The following is a 16,939-nucleotide window of genomic DNA, read 5'->3' on the forward strand; positions in this document are numbered from 1 at the left end:
GGTAAGCTGCAGGTGGGCAGGACGAGTGAGCATTTTCACCTGAGCTCCGCCTCCTGTCAGATCAGCAGTACCATTAGATTCTCATAGGAGTGCAAACCCTATTGTGAACTGCACATTCGAGGGATCCAGATTGCACATTCCTTATGAGAGTTTAATGCCTGATGATCTGTCACTGTCTCCAGTCACACCCAGAGGAGACCATCTAGTTGCAGGAAAACAAGCTCAGGGCTCCCACTGATTGTACATTATGGTGAATGTATAGTAACAAGAGGAATAAAGTACACAATAAATGTAATGCACTTGAATCATCCCAAAACAATCCCCTGCCACCCGTCCATGGAAAAATTGTCTTCCACAAAACCGGCCCCTGGTGCCAAAAAGATTGGAGACCGTTGTATTAGAATATACATATAAGTATCGTATCAAATTCACAGTTTCATGAGTACTGCTTTGGATGAAGCTCCATTTTTTTAAAATGATAAGTTAAAGATAGTGTGCCAATTTAAAGGAAATTTGCCAAATTACAGAAATAATTAAACGAATAGGTAGTTCCTACATATGGCAGAAATCATGAAGATGCTGAAGAAACACAATGGCAACTTTGGTGAAGGGCACCCTCTAAAATTTAGGATTTGAATCCAAAGTATCAGTGTTTTTTTCTCCCAGATATGTTTACAGTGACTTAATCCTTCTTTTTCAATTCAGGGACAGACTTTCAAAATTAGTATTTCTGCAAATTTTTGAATCATTGTTTTCTAACTTAGTTTCTTGACACCTAGTTCTCTTGTGAAAATGTGTCTTACAGATCAAGAATATTTTGTTCCTCTATTTTTCTAGGGTATAAGTGGACATGTGGTGGTAAGAAGAGGAAGGAGAGTGAGTGTGTGTTGTGTGTGTATGAGAGAGAGAGCGAGGGATGGATGGCTGGATGGTCAGAGGGGCTGATGAACAGGTGACTAGATTACTTGGATACCTGGGTAGAGAACAATATTAATAATTGTAGGGCCTCACTTTCCTACATACTCATCTTCTCAGACTCTAAGGAAGTCCAGAGGTCTGTTACAACTCAGAATTGTTTGGGAAATACTGCTTTAGGCTCTTTCACTAGTAACGTGGATTGCTCTGGGCCAATTAAAATGAGCTCCACATAAAGATATTTAGCTATCCTGACCTCTCTGAGCAGGCTCAGAGAAATTCGAATAGGCAAATTACCTCTTGCTACAAATAACTGCTTACTGTTTTATCAGGAATGTATATAAACTTCAGTTATAGAGGCAGCTGCCCTGAACAAGAGTAGCCGCTTAAATTATATTACGGGAAGTTAAAAATACTGTGATGCAGCTGTAATGTTATGTTTAAATGTCTGTCCTGTATAATTTTGTAGAATGGAAGCTTCTTGCCTAGAGCTGGCCTTGGAAGGGGAACGTCTATGTAAATCAGGAGACTGCCGCGCTGGCGTGTCATTCTTTGAAGCTGCAGTTCAAGTTGGAACTGAAGACCTAAAAACACTTAGCGCTATTTACAGCCAGTTGGGCAATGCTTATTTCTATTTGCATGATTATGCCAAAGCATTAGAATATCACCATCATGATTTAACCCTTGCAAGGTAATTAATTTAAGCTTTTAAATATTCTTCCTTCTGAAATTAGCTATTACTTTAAAAAATATTTCTATTCAATTAACAAAAACTAACTTAATACATTTAATGAGTTCTACTTCAGTAACATCGCTTTTCAAAACTAACCTTTAGGCTGAACACAGTTTAATTGAATGAATAGTAGTGAATTGACCCTAGAGTTTAATTAAATGGATGAAAACTAATTACATTCAAATCCAGAAATGTAAGTTTTAAATATTTATTTAAAGTAGGTTTCAAAGCCAATGGGTTTTTCTTACCTTAAGCATGTCAGTTTGTCCTCTTGGAAAACTGTACTCTGGCTACTTTATATTTTAACACCATTTGTATTTTAATACCATTTGGTTTTTTGTTTTTTGTTTTTTGTTTTTTTCAGGACTATTGGAGACCAGCTGGGGGAAGCGAAAGCTAGTGGTAATCTGGGAAACACCTTAAAAGTTCTTGGGAATTTTGACGAAGCCATAGTTTGTTGTCAGCGACACCTAGATATTTCCAGAGAGCTTAATGACAAGGTAATACCGCAGCATTAGATGGTAGGCCTAATATTTTCATTCAAAGGGCTTTGCATTTTAATACTATTTAATTATTCTATAGTTTATTTTAAAATTAATACCAAAAAAGAAAACATTTATAGACTAATAGAAGTAAAAGAAAAAAAATTTAATGGAGAAAAAGAAGGAAATAGTAAGAGGTCTTTCATAAGTAATTATTTGATTGGTTCTGTATGGAGAGCCAATATAAAAATTTTTTTCCCTTGTCCGTAATACTAAGGATATTACAAATATATATGATAAACCTGACCTCTGTTTTCAAAATGTAAACTTTGCTGATGTCTTCATTTAGGTGGGAGAAGCAAGAGCACTTTACAATCTTGGGAATGTGTATCATGCCAAAGGGAAAAGTTTTGGTTGCCCTGGTCCCCAGGATGTAGGAGAATTTCCAGAAGAAGTGAGAGATGCTCTGCAGGCAGCCGTGGATTTTTATGAGTGAGTAGGGGCTGATATGGGCAGTCATGTAGGCCCATCTAAGCCGTGGATCTGCTGTACGTTCTTTATTCAGTAGTAAGTTTTTAAGTTTGGCAAAGATTTTAAAGTTATGAACTAGCAAAATCATCAATTCAGTTGCTTAAATGTTACAGTGTTATATTAGTAGTAATCTGCAGCTTTCATTTAAGTTGCAGACCAGTGCCACTTAGTGGCAAAAGCAAGAAATGTCAATGGTTGGTCTGTTATTTAGAGTAATTTAGTCTTTTACCAATAGAATTTCATAGAACTACTTAACTATAGGGGTTCCAAGATTAACTCTGTGCTTGACCCTGGGCAGAAACCTATCTGAATAGTTTAATAAAGTGTTCCCAGCTATTTCCTATAATTGCTCTTCATCATAGATGTCATCCTTAAAATGTTGCACATTATGGCTGTAAGCTTCCCTACATTTTTTTCTGATAAAAAGAATTAGATATGTAAATCACATACATAAAATTGTTCTGCAAACTTATTTTTTCATCACTTTTTGCGATCCCTTAGGGAAAACCTATCATTAGTGACTGCTTTGGGTGACCGAGCGGCACAAGGACGTGCCTTTGGAAATCTTGGAAACACACATTACCTCCTTGGCAACTTCAGGGATGCAGTTATAGCTCATGAGCAGGTACAGTGGAAAGCCTTGGAGCCAGATCATTTCCTCCATCAAAGTTCTGAACAGTGATTAGATCATTCTTCAGTTTTATTTTATCTACATCTAATTAAAATTGTTTGTTTCAGCGTCTCCTTATTGCAAAAGAATTTGGAGATAAAGCAGCTGAAAGAAGAGCATATAGCAACCTTGGAAATGCATATATATTTCTTGGTGAATTTGAAACTGCCTCGGAATACTACAAGTTAGTCTAATATTTCTGTAGATAAATGTAAAATGAATACTCAGTCCCATTAATTCATAGGCTTTAGGTTTAAAATCTGATTGTAGCAGAACTTTTGGCATCTAAGCCTCAATTTCCTTATCTGTAACAGAATATATCAATACTTCATTTTGGGGAATGCTGTGAGGATTGAATGAAATAATATACTAAACACAGTATCTGGTACACAGTGCTCAATAAATATTATTGTACATAAGATTTAATAGCAGCAGTATGACCCCTTTATAATATTGGTTTTTATCTTTAAAAGTAATTGTTTTTAAATGAAGTTTTCAACCTTTAATATCTTTTAAACCTGTTTAGCATATGTGGTGTATATTGTGTATATGCTTTATTTCACTCAGTTATGGGTTAGAAGAGAGGCCAAAAGAAAGCCTTGTAACAAAAATATTTATAGTCTATACCAGTGATCACTGAATTTTTTTCTCTACCTTCCCACCCTCTTATTGAGCAGTTCTCCCTTTACCCTCTTTCTGCCTATATTTGACTGTCACTGTAAGCTGAGTCCCCCATTCACTTACCTGAAGCATTTACAATCCCAGCTTCTTCTGTGGCAGGATCTCTCTTATCAGTAGATTTGAGACATAGATGATAGAAAGTTTAGACAGCTTCAAGTTGCCTGATCTGTGCTTTCTAGATTGAGTTTTCCCTAGTTAGTGGGGATTGAAGCCTCTTACAGATTTTGGGTAGAAGGCAGTTTGACTAAACCGAAGACACAGTGATTGATTTGTATTTTGTTAAAGAAGCCAATATGAGACAGTTCTGGATAATTTGTCATCTTCATAAAAAAGGTAAAATTGTTTTAGGCCTATCTAAAAAAATTAAATAGCATTCCACTTTGCTTTAAACATCAACTAATGGTTAATATTTGTTGGTTAGGTTAGTTAGATATGAAATAGCCTCCCAAATAAAATATATCACTGTGTACTATGTGAAGGAGTATATATTTTGATTTTAAATATAAAAATTTCCTATATTTAAAGCCAAGGGATATAGAGAAGTCTTAATTATTAAATGGTGTATCTGTGTTAAATACTGAAAGGTTCTATTATAAAATGGATAGTGGCTATTTGACTAAAGAAGCATGAATATAAAGTAATGAAACTTAGTTTTTTTCCTCCCAATAAGCAGGCTAGAACTCAGAACTTTATATATATTCCAAGTCGTTGGTTAGAAATATTTTTAGAACTCTTCTTTAGATTTTTTTTTTTTTTTTTTTTTTAAATACGGAGTTTTGCTCTTGTCGCCCAGGCTGGAGTGCAATGGCACAATCTTGGTGCACTGCAACCTCGGCCTCCCCGGTTCAAGCGATTCTCCTGCCTCAGCTTCTGAGCAGCTGGGATTACAGGTGTCTGCCACCACGCCCAGCTAATTTTTGTATTTTTAGTAGAGACGGGGTTTCGCCATGTTGGCCAGGCTAGTCTGGGACTCCTGACCTCAAGTGATCCGCCCACCTCAGCCTCCCAAAGTGCTGGGATTACAGGCGTGAACCACCACACCCAGCCTGGAATTGTTATCAGGGCCAAACAAGAAGGCTAACAATGTAGATCCATATCCTTCCGGATACAAAGCAGTAGTTTGGTAAACCTATGTTAGTAATTGAATTTGGTTCCAGAAAGATTTCTGATCATTTACAAATCAACTGTACCATCAAAGAATAATGGTATGCCAGAAAGCATTATGCCACAGGATCTGAAAGCAATTCCAAAAGTCTTTCAAAAATATTTGAAAAGACAGGCAACATTAGAATAAGTAGGTAGCCTCCCAAGGTGACAGATTTGAAGGTATCATCATTAAATATGTAACTTTAGATTTGTTTGCTTAAAAAAAGCTATCACGTTACCGCATAGTAATTTGTCATATAGTTATAAGTGATATGAAGTAATTATACTATTTGACAGAAATAATGGGAGGGTCATTTAAATTACTGAATCCAAAAGCATCTATAGGTTTAAGCACTGATAATAACACATTAACATTTATACAGCAACTACTATGCACAAGATGCTATTCTAAGCACTTTATACATATTAATTTAATCCTCACAAAAATCCTTCGAGATATTTCCCCCATTTTATATAAGAAGAGACTGGTATACAGAGAGATTGAGTGACTTTGCCCTTAGCTTAGTAATTGGCAAAGTTGGGATTTAAACCCAGTCTAGCTCCAAGATCTATGCTCTTAACTGCTACGCTAGCTTCTCACTGGCAATACCACAGGTAGAATTTGGGTAATGTTTGGATGTAGTATTCAGTATTTTTCATGAGTTGGTGACTAATGCCCGATACATAAGAATTTTACCTAAGTGGTGACTAATAGCCTACACATAAGAATTTTACCTAAATATTTTAAATTTTGACAATGCAAAGGTGACGGTATGATTGAAAACAGATGTCATGTGGAAAAAAGCCTCTTTTAGCTATTGCCAATACTAAAGGGAAAGTTTTTTTAAATGTTAAAGATATTATGTTAATCTCTAGAACCTCTTGATTTTATGTTTCAATACTCCTTTACTTTGATGAATTGTTAGGATTCTCAAATTTATTCTAAAAGTCTTGAATCTTCTTTCTGTGTTTCAAAAACGTCTTTTCATTTTGTCTAAAAGTAATGGAGAAAGTACGGGATATGAATATTAGGCTCTCAGAGATTTAAAGACAGCAGAAAGCAGCAGAGAGGAAAAATGAGAGTTTTGTTTTGTGATTCTTAAAGCCCAAACTGAGAATGATCATTATATAAGAATTAATTTCTTCTTGTAGGAAGACACTACTGTTGGCCCGACAGCTTAAAGACCGAGCTGTAGAAGCACAGTCTTGTTACAGTCTTGGAAATACATATACTTTACTTCAAGACTATGAAAAGGCCATTGATTATCATCTGAAGCACTTAGCAATTGCTCAAGAGCTGAATGATAGGTATGTTTTACGTCTTTTTACCATAACTAAGGTAAAATATAGATGCATTATTGAATCCCTAGAATTTTTCCTTTGTTTCTTTTCCTTTGTTTTCCTTAAAATCCCTTTTAAGGAATTTTCTTTCAGTGATATCCTCTGTATATCATTGTATGAAGGGCTAGTCTGTGATAGAGGATTAGTCTGGTTCCATATGCCCTTGACCCAAGATCAATGACTAGGTCCCAAACTCAATTACCTCTTCAGAAGTCTTCCTGGTGAAACCCCGTATCTACTAAAAATACAAAAATTAGCCGGGTGTGGTGGCGCACGCTTGTAATCCCAGCTACTCAGGAGGCTGAGGCAGGAGAATCGCTTGAACCCAGGAGGTGGAGGTTGCAGTGAGCTGAGATCACGCCACTGCGCTCCAGCCTGGCGACAGAGCAAGACTGCATCTCAAAAAAAAAAAAAAAAAAGTTTTCCTAACTACATAAGTGTGGGAATTGTGGTGAACTTAGAGATAATGTCCAGTGTGAAGGGGGCAACTGCTACCCAACTCCAACTAATTGTTGCCAGCCAGGAATGAAAATCCGTTATGTCCACATCTTCCTGTTTTTTAAAGAGAAGCTGGAAGTGCTGAGTTTTATATGAAATCTGATTTTTAAATGTTAGTGGCTAATTCAGTTTTTTTGTTTTACTGTATTAAAAAACATTATTTTCCAGCATTTAGTCTGTGATGTTTGCTTTAGAAGATCGATTTTGTTTTTACCTCAGTATGAGAGAGAACTTTTCGATGCAGATGTTCAAAATGAAGTATGCTACCTCAAGAGGTAGTGCGTTCTCTCTCCCTGCTGCTCAAACACACACTGAATAATTACCTGGTAGGGCTGTTATAGAAGGAAAATAGGGTAGTGGACCAGAATACCTATCCTTGAGATTTATTACTTTATAATGTATTTCATATTTTAAAAGCATGTTTTCTATGTTGTAATACTTGACTGTGAGTTTAGTATTATGTGGGTATTCTTTTTTTTAATCTGGGTATTCTAGTATGTCTATAATATCATGATAGTATGTTATTTATATGAAAGACCAAATCAATCCAAAGCATTCTTTATCCCTTTAGTTCCTGCTAGATAGCTTTTATTCTATACATAGGACCTCTTTTCAAATAACTGCATGTTCGCTTTGAATAACGTTTTAGAATTGGTGAAGGAAGAGCATGTTGGAGCTTAGGAAATGCATACACAGCACTAGGAAATCATGATCAAGCAATGCATTTTGCTGAAAAGCACTTGGAAATTTCAAGAGAGGTATGAAACTAAAAAAAATGCTGTCTGTGCTATTGTAATTTACAAATTAGAGGTTGGGGGAGGGAACCCTATTTCTCTAGATTGATCATGTGGCTGAATAATAAATTTGATTATATATCATTCTCTTGGCATAAGAACCCCAGAAAGCATTTTGAGGTACAGATCACAGTTATGTTTGTATTGGCTTTCATGTAGGAAGACAGGAAAGTAAGGCCGGGCATGGGGAAGTGGAAGGAGAGTACTAAAATATGCCCCTACTCTACCCGCATCTCTACATGGAGAAGTAGCATGGTATTGAAGGAAAAGCATGGTTCTTAGAATTAAGGACTGCTTCCTGTTGTAGTTCTGCCACTTACTGGCTATTTGAGCTTGGAAACCTTTTCTGAGCCTCAGTTTCTCTCATCTGCATAATGGGAATAATAATATCTACCTTGCAAAGTGTTATAACGATTAGAGCTAATGTATATTAAAAGTGCCTAGCAAAATGTCTGGTGCTGGCTTAATAAACATTATTATTATACTATGGGAATAAAATATTCTAAGAAAATTTTATTCATATACCAAGTTAATGTGTCCAGGATAATCTACATTATTACTTAGTATGATTCCAGAGAACAAGAGCAATCTAATGTTTAGAGAACTAAAGAATTAAAAGAATACAATTAGCTGTCCTATTGTGATATTTTAGAAGCTTGCTTTTTCTTTCTGTATTCTTTAAGACAACTATTAATGGAAAAAAATTTTCATTCATTCATAGTCTCATAATTCTAATATAACTATTTTCATTTCTCTATATTTTCTTCTAGTTTTAGGTTCACTACATTTACAAATAATCTTCACCATTCTTTCTCTTTAAATACTACTCTAAAATATAAATGTTTGTGTTGTAGGTTGGGGATAAAAGTGGTGAACTAACAGCACGACTTAATCTCTCAGACCTTCAAATGGTTCTTGGTCTGAGCTACAGCACAAATAACTCCATAATGTCTGAAAATACTGAAATTGATAGCAGTTTGAATGGTAAGTAATAGGACTTTTAAAACCCAATTTTTTTATCCTCAATATTTAGATTAAAGTTATTTATCACAAATTTGGCATATTCAGAGAGAATATATAACATGGGAAGTTCAACTTATTACACTTTTTTGCTGTACACAGCTCTGTTTGTAAATATATATTACAATTATATATTTTGTATATAATATATATATAATTATAATATATAATTTATAAGTGTAAAACAATATTTTATAGTTTTTACCATGAACTTAGGAATGGTGATGGTATTGTTCTTTTCTTTTGTAAAAATACATTTAAATTCTCTATCTCTAAGCTCATTCAAAAATTTGTAAATGTGAAGGTGCCAAAATTTTAAAATGTTATTGTTTATCCTTTTTATCTCATATCGTTTTACGTATCTGTTTTCTGTTTAGTTCTTTTTCCCCCATTTCATTTCCAAGGTGAATTTTCTTAGGACTTTTTTAAATTCAGAAAATCTAAGATACTCTCTTTATTTTTCTTTCTTTTTTTTTGGTGGCAAAACCTATCTTTAGGACACCTTCCTTAGGTGCCGATTTGTTTGACATTTCTATAGCGAGGAAATTTGCTATAATGTCTCTTTTTGAGTGAAAGAAAATCTACTTTTAAAGAAATAAAAGGGATAAGATTAGGATCACATTTTTAAATTTCATCAGTATGTGATTCTATATGAGATCATTTTCCTAAGCTTGAGAAATTCTCAGTCTAAAAAAAACTACTGACAAATATTTTGAATTTTAAAGTCAGTGATAAATCTACCTTTACTTTTTCCAATTTTTTTCTTTAAACTCAGGAAAAGAAATTAGTGGCTAGTCATCTGATTTAGATTTTCAAAGAACATTTAGTGAAAAGTTCTGAAGTGTGAACCGTATAATAATTTGTGACTGCGTGCTTTGTGGTTGAATGATGGGCTAAGACGTTTTTCTGTGCTGAACTTTCAAATAGGTTATGCCGTTAAGAGCTCTCATCTTTAAAAAGCAAAAACAAACAGTCGCTTGTCTTCATAGACCCTTCTAGCTGTAGACCTGTTCCTTTGTTCGCTCTTATAACAAAACCTGAAAAGACACTAATATTCATTGTCTTTACTTCCTTGCCTCCCTTTCTCTCTTCAACCCATTCCCGTTGGGCTTTGCCCTCACCATGTCTCTGAGACCTCCATTTTACCAAATATATCATTCAGTTTTCACATGTCAGCTTACTTGATTTTTCTCAGCAATATTTCCTATAGCCAATCATTCCCTTCTGAGAAAACTTTCTTCATTTGGCCTCCAGGATTACTCTGCTTTTCTGGTTTGCCACTCTCGTCTTTATTCTCTTCTCTCCTCTTCTTCATCTTTCCTCTACGTTTGTAGTGCTCAGGGTTCAGTTCTTGGACCTCTTCTTCCTACCTTCTTTCCCTCCCTATTTTCCATCTCTCTCTCCTTCCTTCTTACTGATTTTATCCTTTTTCCTTCTATTCTGTGCTTTAAGTCAGTGCTTCCAATAGAACTTTTCTGTGATGATAAAAACGTTTTACATCTGCCATCCAATGTAAAAGCCACTAGCTACATGTGGCTGTTGATCACTAGAAATGTGGCTACTACAAGAGGGAGTGAATTTTTAATATTACTTAACTTTGGTTAATTAAAATGTAGAGAGCCGCATGTGGCTACTGGCTATTGGACAGCACAGCTCTAGATAATCTCATCCAGTTACTTGGCTTTTATATTGTCTATATACTGATTATTTTCAGATTTATATTTCCAGCCAAAATTTCTCTCATGAGTTTGAGACTCATTTGTTTAAAATTTTCCATTGTCATGCCATATCTAATTGGCATCTAAAACTTAGCATGTCCATAATGTTTTCTCCTAAACATGTTCTTCCTGTACCCCACCCTATCTCAGGAAATAGTATCACCATTCACTCAACTAATCAGGCCAAAAAACTAGGGGTCATACTTGTTCCCTTTCTACTTTTATTTATTTATTTTATTTTATTTTATTTTTAAAGACAGAATCTCACTCTGTTGCCCGAGCTGGTCTCGAACTCTTGTCCTCAAGAGATCTTCCCACCTCAGCTTCTCAAGTAGCTGGCCTTGTTCCCTTTCTTTCACTCACTTCTACATCAAACCTATCAGAAACCTGCCTTCAAAATATATCCCTAATCTCTCCTACAGTGTACTCTGCAACAATCTTAGTATAAGCTACCGACAGCTCCCAGCAGAGTCCTAGCCTACCAATGATTTCTCTTACTTCGATTCTGCATCTCTCACACTTACTTTTCCACACAGGAGCCAGAGTGCTTTTTTTTTTTTTTTTTTCTAAATTAAAAAAATATTTTGGCCAGGCACAGTGGCTCACGCCTGTAATCCCCAACACTTCAGGAGGCTGAGGCAGGTGGATCACCTGAGGTCAGGAGTTCGAGACCAGCCTGGCCAACATGGCAAAACCCCATCTCTACTAAAAATACAAAAATTAGCCAGGCACAGGGGCACAGACCTGTAGTCCCAGCTACTCAGGAGGCTGAGGCAGGAGAATCGCTTGAACCTGGGAGGAGGGTTTTGAGATGGAATCTCGCTCTGTCGCCCAGGCTGGAGTGCAGTGACGGAACTATAGGCACGACCTCCTAGGCTGAAGTGATCCTGCCACCTCAGCCTTTCAAAGTGCTGGGATTACAGGCATGAACCATCATGCCTGGCCTCAGAGTGCTCCTTTAGAATATACGTCGTTCCTCTGTTCAAAACCCTTCAGTTAGTTCCCATCACACCTAGAACGGAATCCTCAGTCCTCACCATGGTTGAAAGGCCCTATGTAATCTGAACCTATCTCTTCAGCCTCTTTTCCTGCCACTCCACCTCTTGCTCACTCTGGCTGTATGAAGACAGGTGTTTTTTGGTCTCTTTTGTTCATTGCCATCTCCCCAGTGTGAGGAGAAAGGATTTGTAAGAAAACTTGTCTATTTCTGGTGTTGGCTCAAGGTAGAAAAAAGGAGCCTTCGCTAAAAATCTTAATTCATGAATTCATAAGCCTCCCTACATACTGGTTTGGAATTTGATTTATACCATCTGCACAGTCTAAGAAACCCTAATCCATTAAAGCACTTTTGGGTTAGAGGTGTTCCTAGAGACTTAGCAGAAGTAAGACCAAATAGTTTCTGGGGGAAAGGCATCCTTGATTCCAGGTCATAAGCGTTTCACAACAAAAAAATTACCAAATATGTAAAGAAACAAGCCAAGATAGTAAGGAAAAAAATAACAAAATTAGGTCATCAAGTTCTTCAGATGTTAGAATTATCAGATATAGAAAATAAAATGACTGTGGTTGAACGTTTACAGAAGTAACAAGGAAATGAAAACAAGAGAATAACAAAAATGTTAGGTAGACTGAAAAAAAAAGCTAACATTTATTGAGTGCTTATGATATGCCAGGCACTGATTTAAGTGCTTTACATGTTTTAACTCATTTAATTGTAACAATTCTAGTAGTTAAGTTTCTGTTATCCTTAATTTACAGGTGGGGAAATGGAGGCAAGAGAGGTTAGGTAAATTTCCCAGGGTTACCTGTGTAGTAAGTGGTAGAGATGGGAGTTAAGCTTAGTCACTCTGGCTCCAGAATCCGTCTTATGTGATAGTTATGTCTTAATGTGATGTTAACACACCTCAATAATTGATAAAAATCAGTCAGGAGTCAGACATCAGTAATAAAGTTGAGATTTGACCAACACAATTAATAGGCTTCATCTAATGCAATATTTTGCAAACTATGTGTCTGACCCATTCATGAGTTATAAAATGAGTCTTATGAGTTGCAGTTAGCATTAAAAATACACATACAGGGGCCGGGCGCCATGGCTCACGCCTGTAATTCCAGCACTTTGGGAGGCCAAGGCGAGCGGATCATGAGGTCAGGAGATCGAGACCATCCTGGCTAACGTGGTGAAACCCCGTCTCCACTAAAAATACAAAAAATTAGCCAGGCGTGGTGGCAGGCGCCTGTAGTCGCAGCTACTCGGGAGGCTGAGGCAGGAGAATGGCGTGAACCTGGGAGGCGGAGCTTGCAGTGAGCCGAGATTGCTCCACTGCACTCCAGCCTGGGCAACAGAGCGAGACTCTGTCTCAAAAACAAAAACAAACAAAAAAAACACAGGAGGCCAGGCGCGGTGGCTCACACCTGTAATCCCAGCACTTTGGGAAGCCGAGGCACGTGGATCACGAGGTCAGGAGATCGAGACCATCTTGGCTAACACGGTGAAACCGTGTCTCTACTAAAAAATTAGCTGGGCGTGGTGGCGGGCACCTGTAGTCCCAGCTACTCGGGAGGCTGAGGCAGAAGAATGGCGTGAACCTGGGGGGCGGAGCTTGCAGTGAGCCGAGATCGCGCCACTGCACTCCAGCCGACAGAGAGAGACTCCGTCTCAAAACACACGTGCGCGCACACACACACAGCCGACAGCCAGACTCCATCTCAAAACACAAACACACACACGCCGGGGCAGTGGCTCATGCCTGTAATCCCAGCTCTTGGGAGGATCACTTGAGCCCAGGAGTTTAGACCGACTTGGGCACACAGGGAGACCGCCATCTCTCCAAAAAATTTTTTAATTATCCGTGCATGGTGGCATGAGCCTGTCATCCCAGCTACTCGGGAAGCTGAGGTGGGAGGATCACTTAAGCCCAGGAGTTTAGACCGACCTGGGCACACAGGGAGACCGCCATCTCTCCAAAAAATTTTTTTAATTAGCCATGCATGGTAGCATGAGCCTGTGATCCCAGCTACTCGGGAAGCTGAGGTGGGAGGATCACTTGAGCCCAGGAAGTCGAAGCTGCAGTAAGCCATGATCATGCTGTTGCACTCCAGCCTGGGCAATAGAGAAAAACCAAAAAACTACACACGTATGTGTATGTATGTATATAAAACTGTTGTGTGAAGATTTTGTTGTATGTTTGTGTATGTTCTAGGTATATATGTGTATTTTTTAATATGGGGTCACACCTTAAAAGTGAAAACCACTGCTTTAATGGAAATATATTGACCTAACTGGTCAATTTCCATTATTTTTAAGTATTCATGAAACATTTACAGAAAACTGACAATAAAGCAAATCTCAACAAATTTAAAAGGATTTGTATCACATCTGTATCACACATGCTCTGAGCACGGTGCATTTAATTTAGAAATTAATAAGATAATATATAAAACATTAATCTGAAAACATAACATTTCTCAGTAACTTACAGGTTGAGAAAGAAATCTTAAAGTTAGAAAGTAACTTAGGACTGAATTATAAAAATATTGTTTCAATTTTGTGGCATGTGACTTACATTGGTACTTAGAGCAAAATTTATGTTGTATTTAAAAAGGAAAAAGCTGGCCAGGCGCGGTGGCTCACGCCTGTAATCCTAGCACTTTGGGAGGCCCAGGCGAGTGGATCACAAGGTCAAGAGATCAAGACCATCCTGGCCAACATGGTGAAACCCTGTCTCTACTAAAAATACAAAAATTAGCTGGGCGTGGTGGCATGCACCTGTAGTCCCAGTTACTCAGGAGACTGACACGGGAGAATTGCTTAAACCCAGGAGGCGGAGGCTGCAGTGAGCCGAGATCACACCACTGCACTCCAGCCTGGCGACAGAGCAAGACGCCATCTCCAAAAAAAAAAAAAAAAAAAAAAAAAGGAAAAAGGCTGAAAGCTTAATACCATCTAGCTTAAAAAGTAAAACAAACAAACAAAAAAAAACACTGAAAGAAGGCAAAAATTAAAAAGCAGAATTTAATAAAATTAAAACAGTGTTTTCTTTAAGTCAAAATTTGGTTCCAAATTGTTTAGTTTAATTTTGACTAAGTCTACAGAAAGAGGGCATAATAAATATGCAGAGATTAAAAAGAGATTCTGAATAACGTTATGACAAAATATTTGAAAATCTAGGAGAAATGGGCAATTTCTGGAAAAACAAGTTACCAAAACTGTTCCAATGGTAAAATGTAATGTGAATGGCATGCTAATGGCTAAAATTATAAAGAAATTCGAGCAGTAATTTAAAATCTTCCCACTAGGAAAATACCTGGCCTAGATGATTGTACAAGTGAGGTAAACCAGCCACTTAAGAAAACTAATTATAATACCTTACACAAAAATTTTATAGGCAACTGAATAAGTGGACATACTTTTATCAATCTTTCTGAGAACCATAACCTTGATATCCAAACTAGACAAGAACAATACAAGAAAAGTAAATTACCGGCCAGCCTTACTTGTGAACATAAGATATAAAAATCTTTACAAAATATTAGCAAAGCAAATCCAGTAATGTATTTTAAAACAAACGGGGAGCCGGGCGCAGTGGCTCACCCCTGTAATCCCAGCACTTTGGGAGGCTGAGGCGGGCGGATCATGAGGTCAGGAGTTCGAGACCAGCCTGACCAACGTGGTGAAACCCCGTCTCTACCAAAAATACAAAAATTAGCCAGGGGTGGTGGTGTGTGCCTGGAATCCCAGCTACTCAGGAGGCTGAGGCAGGAGAATCACTTGAACCTAGGAGGCAGAGGTTGCAGTGAGCCGAGATAGCACCACTGCACTCCAGCCTGGGCGACAGAGAGAGACTCCGTCTCAAAAAAAAAAAAAATTCAAGTGGATTCAACATTAGAAAATCAATTAATGTAATTCACTAATGAACATAGTAAAGAGAAAATCACCCAAATATCCAAATCTATTAAATCTATTTCATATAGAACTAATGAAATAGTTCTATTTCATTAGAACTATTAAATGAAAATATTCCATTTATAAGACACAGTAGCAGATTGGAGAAAGAATAAAATCCAACTACACACTACTTGCAAGAGAAATATCTAATATAAGGATATAATAAACCTGAAAGTAAAAGAATAGAAGATTCATCATGCAAAAACTAACCAAAAGACAGTCAGTATAGCTATGTTAATAGATAAAATGTACTTTAAGGCAAAGGGTCTTACTAGAAATGAAGAAGGTCGGCTGAGTGTGGTAGGTCACGCCTGTAATCCCAGCACTTTGGGATGCCGAGGCTGGTGGATCACTTGAGATCAGAAGTTCAAGATCAGCCTGGCCAACATGGTGAGACCCCGTCTCTACTAAAAATACAGACATTAGCTGGGGGTGGTGCAGGGCCCTGTAATCCCATCTACTCAGGAGGCTGAGGTGGAAGAATGTCTTGAACCCAGGAGGTGGAGGTTGCAGTGAGCCGAGATCACGCCACTGCACTCTAGCCTGGGCAACACAGCGAAACTCCATCTCAGAAAAACAAAAACACAAGCAAACAAACAAAAACCAAAGTAAATGAAGAAGGTCACTTTACGGTGGTACTTACCAGTGATTAACAGTTCAATTCACCAGGAAGATGAATGCATTAAATGTGTCTGGGCTTAATAGGTGTTTATAACAAGGCCTCAACGTACATAAAGCAAAATTGACCAAAGAAATAGGAAAATCTACAATCATAACGGGAAATTTTAATACATATCTCTTAGTAATTGATGGGTGATAAACCATACTCAAGTGGGAAGACAATTTTTTTTTTTTTTTTTTTTTTTTAAAGACAGGCTCTTACTCTGTCACCAGGCGGAACTGCAGTGGAGTCATCTCAGCTTACTGCAGCCTCTACCTCCCAGGCTCAAGCAATCTGCCCACCTCAGCCTCCTGAGTAGCTGGGACTATAAGGCACATGCCACCATGTCTGGCTGATTTTTATATTTTTTTGCAGATATGGGGTTTTGCCATGTTGCCCAGGCTAGTCTCGAACTTATGAGTTCAAGGGATCTGCCCACCTCAGTCTCCCAAAGTGCTGGGATTACAGGCATGCACCACCGTGCCCGGCTGACAAAATTTTATAAAAGATTTCAGTTCTTCTCAAATTGATAAAAATTAAGTGCACTGCCAAACACATCACAATTATTTTGTGGAACTTCATGAAGTTATTCATAAGTTTATATGAAACAAAAAAGTTCTGAGAAATACCAAAACATTCCTAAGAATATGAAAAGTGCTTTCTTTACAGATATAAGTAATAAGACAGTGTGCTGTTGGCATAAAGACAAATAGACCAGTGGAATCGAGTAGAGAGCCTATATTCCTCACATATATGGAAAATAATCTCACATAAAAATGAATTATTGATGGATTAAGGATT

The 16,939-nt window shown here is 37.4% G+C and overlaps 1 protein-coding gene across 10 annotated transcripts in view; it reads left to right on the forward strand.

Moving 5' to 3' along the window:
- GPSM2 (G protein signaling modulator 2) overlaps window positions 1-16,939 on the forward strand; it is a 57,561-nt gene that overhangs the window by 18,495 nt on the left and 22,127 nt on the right. For all 10 annotated transcript variants that reach the window (XM_047418723.1, XM_011541302.4, XM_047418724.1 and 7 more), the window contains 8 exons: window positions 1,385-1,606; window positions 2,013-2,148; window positions 2,480-2,622; window positions 3,163-3,286; window positions 3,400-3,515; window positions 6,311-6,466; window positions 7,647-7,755; window positions 8,646-8,775. In XM_047418723.1, coding sequence (XP_047274679.1) covers window positions 1,385-1,606; window positions 2,013-2,148; window positions 2,480-2,622; window positions 3,163-3,286; window positions 3,400-3,515; window positions 6,311-6,466; window positions 7,647-7,755; window positions 8,646-8,775 — 1,136 coding nt within the window. The remainder of the gene's footprint in view (window positions 1-1,384; window positions 1,607-2,012; window positions 2,149-2,479; window positions 2,623-3,162; window positions 3,287-3,399; window positions 3,516-6,310; window positions 6,467-7,646; window positions 7,756-8,645; window positions 8,776-16,939) is intronic.

The sequence above is a fragment of the Homo sapiens genome, chromosome 1 (genome assembly GCF_000001405.40).
Source record: "Homo sapiens chromosome 1, GRCh38.p14 Primary Assembly".
Taxonomy (NCBI): domain Eukaryota; kingdom Metazoa; phylum Chordata; class Mammalia; order Primates; family Hominidae; genus Homo; species Homo sapiens.